Genomic DNA, 6,620 nt, shown 5'->3' with positions numbered 1-6,620 from the left:
GAAAAATAGCATCATGAAAAGAATGCTCCATGAGTATCTCTGTGCTTCACAACAACATAAACCATTAACAGCCACTTGGAGTAAAGATGGGCCAATTGTCTTGAAGCAAGTTTGAGTGTATTTATTGAGTACTACTTTCTGATGACTAACATCACCATTGTTTATATATTATCTCATTTAATTCTCCCAACAGTTCTGTGGTGGGGGGCAGTTATCCCACTTTATGGATGAGAAAACTGAGGCTTAAGGAGGTGAAATAACAAGCCCAGGGTCTCATGAGTGTCAAGTGGAGGAGCCTGTTCTGATTCTCAAGGCCCAACTTTGAACTATGTCAGTGTGGTGTTCCCTTGAGATAAGCATTGCATTTGAAGGCTGGACCTCTGCCATATTGTGAATTAATAAGAAATATTCTTTAGGCACCCCCTCAGTGATTTCCTGTTTCTTTCTCACCCACAATCATTCTTTTATGTCGTTCCCACACCGCTCAGTGGCCCTAGAGAAACTTAGGTACTGTAGGTGACATTAAGAAAAGAAGCTATTTCACCTGTTTTTGCTATCCCTCACAGATGGCATAATGCTTGAACCCAGGTTTTAATGTTTTAATGTTACTAGCTAGATAAAGTGGACTTTTTAAGGTTTAGGGGCTGCTTTCTTGCATTTGAACACAGTTCATCTCATTCATCTCCAAAATAACTTGCCATGTAGAGATAATTAACCTAATCTTGATTGCCCGAATTTTAGCCTATATCACAAATACTGAAAATTTCAGGAAGGGAAATATGTTTCACGTAAGTCCTCAGATCATCTTTAAATGGCAGCAGGCATTTCCACCTACATGCTGGCCTTGTGTCTGAGGAAGTTATCCATAAATTACTTTTTTAAAGTAACTTAGGAGGTGAGTGGTTACAAGACTATTATGAAATATGTTATTTTGGCACAAGCTCAAATGAGGCCTTGGAGAACAGGATGTGGTTCATTCTAGGCTAAATCTGTCTCTTGATTAGCTGGGTGAAATCGGGCAAGTCTCTTAACCTCTCTAGTCTCAAAAACTGTAAAATGTGAGGGGGATCGGTCCGGATGTACTTCAACATCTTTCCAAACTCTAACCTTCTGGGATTCCTTAGGCTCCACACCTGAAGAGAGTAACTAAAAGTAGGACACATAATTTTTAATCAAAGCCAAAAATTATTTCAAGACAGTGTTGTCATAATTAATACTCAGAAGTTCTTAAAGATACTTAGATGAAAGCTCAAAAGGAAAGATGATCATGGCTTAGAAAATTCAGTGAGTAATTAATTGCAGATGACTAATATTCTTCTGCCTGTTCCCCTCTCCCTTCAGGAGCACAGGAATAAGAAAAGCAATAAAAGTGACTCAAGTTCTTCCTGGCGTACCTAAGAAAAACAGCCAAAAGACATTTCTGATGTGATTTAGCATGTCGTTTTCTATCCTTGTTAATTACCATGAAATAGAACCTGCTTAATATCTAACACTACCTCTAGCCTAATTTGTAATTCCAAATAGTGTAATAATGTCCTTTGTCAGCAGCATCAAATAACCACAAGTTTCATTTCGCACAAAAGGTGGTAGTGCTCCATTTCTCCTGCTTCTTCAGTTCTTTTTTTGCAAGATTAGAGCAGATGTTTGGTCAGTCTTGTAACCAAGTGATTGTTTTCTCTAATGGAGGTGTTGGGCAATGATAATGAAAGTTCACAGTTCAAGTGAAAGGTTAAAGTAGGGAAGCATTGTCAAAGGTGGGATCACTAGTCTCCAACGAGGGGATTAGTCTGCAAGGCATCTTAGAAGCTGGTTGTTCATCTTTCCTCCTGTTTCCCATATCAAGAAACTAAGGCCAGAGAAGTTAAGGCCCTCGCCCATGGTAGCACAATGACAGTTTAGTGGGAGAGCCAGACCTAGACTCCAGGGCTCCTGATGGTCAAGTTCAGAATCCTTCTACCATGCCGCATTGCCTGTTTTTACGGTAACTAGATGTAGAGAAGAAAAATGGAAAGCAGGTAATTTGCAAACTATGCCATCCTGCTAATAAATTCACTGATTTTTGTGTGTTTGATTTCTGCTTTTGACATGAGATTTAAAGGTCTGGTTTTGTATGTTACAGAGTATACAGCATCTAAACAATCTAATTGTTACTTTTAGGAGAAAAAGAAAAATTTGTGGAATTAGCCATATTTTCTTCACAGAAAAAGACATTTCCATTTTTGGATGAGCTCAGAATACGTGCTCTTGACATTTGTATTAAGTATACTAATAACAACTCCTAGTGATACACTGGTGTGGTGTGGGTGTTTGTGTGTAAGTGAAAGTAAAACCAAATGAATTATTAAGACAGGATGAGAAGAGCCAGGAAGCGAAACAGGCCAGATCAGTGTCTGTCAGGACTCTTGCATCAGCCAAAGGCAGCTGCATCAAGGTGTACCCGGATTCCTACCGCTGGGAGTGTTTTCATGAACCAGTTTCCCTAATAGTCTGGTATGAACCTAAAGGCCACATCAGGAGGGCTTCTCCCTAGTTATGGTCCTTTTAACTCAGAATGAATGGAAGTGGTTTTTTGCAGGGAACCCAGAAAATTGATGCTACCCTGCAGTAGCTTTAGAATAAATTTTTTTTTCTCTTGACCTTCCTGGAGAAATTTGGAGACAAACAGTTCTGGAACACAACTAAGGTGCTGGAATCCCTCCAAAGTAAACCTGATCTTCTAAAAAACTGTTAAAAATGTATTTATTTTCTAGGACTTCACTTTTTTACGCAGTGGTTCCAGATTAGTAGAGATTAATTTCATACTTTTTTTTTTTTTTTTTTTTTTTTTTACTTTGAGTAAACCTAATCTTATAAAATTACTCCTAAGGTAGCTTTTGACCAATTGAGCCAATAGCAAAAGTGGAGGCATTGGTGTGCCCCTGTCTTGAGTATATTGTACCTGCTCTCACCCAGAATCCAGGGTGAGATGTATCTGAATTGCAGTTTTATCACTTCCTATTTGTATAGAAACATGGCAAGTTAGGTAATTTCTGTGAGCCTTCATTCCCCCATATATGAGTTAATATTATTTGGTTGGTGCAAAAGTAATTGCGGTTTTTGCCATTGAAAGTAATGGCAAAAACCGCAATTACTTTTGCACCAACCTAATGGGTGAAGAACCTGATGTACGGAAGATACCATACACCTAAATGGTAGCGGCTATTCTAGCCTAACAATTCATAGAGAAGAAGGAATAGATTGAGGTGTGTAGATTTTTCTGAGTAGTACTGTTTAAAGGTTGAGATGTATTGGAAAGGAAAAAATGTTAAAAAGGGTTAAAAAAATACATATATGTTCACGTCCTAAAATCTCCAAAGAATTGTTATGACACCATAAGTAGACCTGAATTCTTTTTTGGGGACTTTTCTTTGTAGAGATGGGGTCTCATTTTGTTGTCCAGGTTGGTCTCAAACTCCTGGCCTCAAGCAATCCTCCCGCCTTGGCCTCCCAAAGTGCTGGGATTATAGGCATGAGCCACTGTGTCCAGCTTGGAGCTGGATTCTTATCACTGGTCCCAGATGTTTTGAGTTAGTAGTTTGCACTGTAGCAAAGTTGTTATTTTTCTTTTAGAATTTGTTCCCTATTGCATTTTTTCTTTTAAGTCAACTTTTAAAAGAATCAAGATGTCCTTAGAATTTGTTTTCCCTATCTACATGGAAATGCATCATTAGAACTTAATGTCAAAGTCCCCTATCCCTTGCAATTAACACAAAGCACCTTCCAATCGGATGTTCTGCATCTATTGGGAAGTCAAAGGATAATGAGTGCATTGCTCTTTCAATTAAATTATAACGTGTGATAGGCAATGCTTGAATGATGCACTGGCCCAGAGTTAAATATTGAAAATCCACCAGAAGACAAGTTGACTTAGAATTATAAATAAGTCTATGGGCTCTAGTTATAAACAGGCAATGTTAATTTTCTACTAAAATACTGCAGGTAAACGTGGACAAGAAAATGTCCTGCTAAAAGCTGAGCATGAGGTTTGAAACGACTGATCCCTTCGTTCCCTGAAGTATGGAACATAAGATTCAGAAAATTAAATGATAGAGATTGTTCACTATAGTCTTTCCTGTCTGGTATAATGGTAGGTACTCTGTCAGCAAAGATCAAAAGTAATTTTCCTGCAATATCTGGGCATTGATTCCCCGCTTTCCCCCAAAAGTTAATCTCATGGTTTCTGTTCTCACTCTTTTTATATTAAAAAAATTCAAAATGAAAATCAGCTTCCTTTTCTTATGATTATATAAAATAATGTTCATTGTAAAATATACAAACGGTGAAATGTATGAAATTAAAATTGTTCAACAATAACTACCACTGATATTTCAATAATCATCCTTTCACGGTTATCTTTATGATGTTATTTATTGTGTAATTTTTTTCTCACATTCAGTCTTTTCCCCCTCACCTTGTCTCCATAGCCACTTTCCAAACAATAGTACAAAAATAGGAAATCCATACTTACAACTTGGTGTATACCTCTTTGTGTCTTTCCCCATGCTCATATAACATATGGAAACATAAGGACATAAATGTATTTTGAGTTGTATTGTTCTATAAATAATAAAAACCATATAGTACTATAGTTTAAAACCTCTTTTGCCATCACAGTAGAATTCTAGATTTTAATTTTTTTTAATTTTTTTTAATTTTTTTTTTTTTTTTTTTGGAGATGAAGTCTCACTCTTCTCCCCCAGGCTGGAGTGTGATGGCGCGATCTTGGCTCACTGCAACCTCCGCCTCCCAGGTACAAGCAATTCTCCTGCCTCAGCCTCCCAAGTAGCTGGGATTACAGGCATGCACCACCACACCTGGCTAGTTTTTGTATTTTTAGCAGAGACAGGGTTCCACCATGTTGGCCAGGCTGGTCTCTAATTCTTGACCTCAGGTGACCCGCCCACCTCAGCCTCCCAAAGTGCTGGGATTACAGGTGTGAGCCACCATGCCCGGCCGAATTCTAGATTTTTATAAATTTCTCTCTAGTTTTTTTATAGCTGTCTAGCTCTCTCCTAATTCAACTGCAGTTTTTCTTGGCAACCTGCCTTTTGAAGGATTCATGTGGCATTCACGTTTGTTTTTATAGAAGCCATTCTTTTTGAACTCATTTCATCAGTTTGATATAAAATTTATCTGATTGGAATAATAGGTCCAACTAGCTAATAGCTTGCCAATTCTTGGTAAACATATATAACCAGAGAAAAGCTCCCCCAACCTAGATAGAAGCCTGCAAGTTTCCAACATTCTGCTTCTGTTGTGGGTTTTACAGAGGGTTGGGAAAACTTTTATTATATACATAATTGTTTCCTGCTATTTGTACCTGGATGGTAGAGACTGCACGTGCTTTTCTGTGTCTCCTCCACTATTACTCCTGTAATATTATCCAGAGATTCTTTTATATCTGTGGTTATGTGGGAAAAAAAGGATTTGTTGAAAATGGCCAAACTTACTCTTACTAACTTTGCATATAATGTACTTTAAAGGATGTTCTGATACCTTTCTCTTCACTTATATTTTGAGGTAAGCTTATTCGATGTGTCACATATTACAGTTCTCTGAAGCCTCTTGCATGTTTCACATTGTGCTGACAAGATGTAGTTTTTCCCTTGATATATGTCTCGTTTTTGAATCAGAGTTCTTATTATCAAGTCTTAGTCTTTAGCTGTGCAAATGTGTCCCTTCTCCCACCTCCCCAAATAGCTTGGGCATTACTGCCAAATATTAGATTGGTGCAAAAGTAATTGCGGTTTTTGCCATCAAAAGTAATGAAAACCGCAATTACTTTTGCACCAACATAATAACTTCATACTCTTTATTGTATCGAGTATGCAGTCTACAAATTACAGTGAAGTAGCAGGCCCGGGGTGCCAGTGTCTGGAATTTGGTCAGCTAGAGAGCAGGTTGGTTGATATCGTAAGTCCAGCATCTCTGAAGACAAGTATAGGGAAAGTTAGCTAAGTTGTAAGGGATGGGCTGGGACCACAGCCCAAGCAGATCAAGTGTCAACTCTGGGAAAACACAAAGGGATGAGTCAGAGATTCAAGTGTAGAATTCCGTGGAGAGAGAGAGGGTCATGGGACTAGGGAGAGAAGCTGCAGAGTGGGGAGGATGGAAGCTTTGTTTGACAAAGCTATATGTCAAGGTCTAAACACTAGGCCTTAGAAGTAGATCAAGTAGCAACAAAATAATGGTATTTGATACTGGAATCATTTGGGGGGAAGTTATGTCCCCAGGATGGTGAAAGGGCATGGCAGGCCATGCAGAATTGATAACTAGCTTTTACTTTGTACTCCTCTCATAAGTTATTTAGGTTTCTACAAAATGTACCTACTTTGTCCGAACCTTTAAAGAGGTCAGAAGCAAAAAACAAGTGAGAGGTAGTGACGATGTTCATTTAGAGTCTGTACAGCTCGTCTGTTCAGTAATTGCTCAGTGAAGTGGAACAGGAAGAAGCTGATGGCCACTTGGCTGCACTCAGTCTGTGTGAACTGGTTTCTTCTATTTTATGATCCTGGATTATCTGTCTACAAGAAGTAGTGGAAAAAATAAATCCATTAACTCCATGTGGCCTATGGCAGATA

General features: G+C 38.4%; 1 annotated feature.

Moving 5' to 3' along the window:
- Positions 2,229 to 2,528: an enhancer, noted in NCBI's record as "active region_25049". NCBI's record gives its function as "activates an Ori minimal core promoter by ATAC-STARR-seq in GM12878 lymphoblastoid cells {active_cell/tissue: GM12878}" and the evidence as "EXISTENCE:reporter gene assay evidence [ECO:0000049][PMID:35858748]".

This window comes from Homo sapiens, chromosome 6 (assembly GCF_000001405.40).
Source record: "Homo sapiens chromosome 6, GRCh38.p14 Primary Assembly".
Classification (NCBI taxonomy): domain Eukaryota; kingdom Metazoa; phylum Chordata; class Mammalia; order Primates; family Hominidae; genus Homo; species Homo sapiens.
This window is presented reverse-complemented; position numbering and strand designations above follow the sequence as displayed.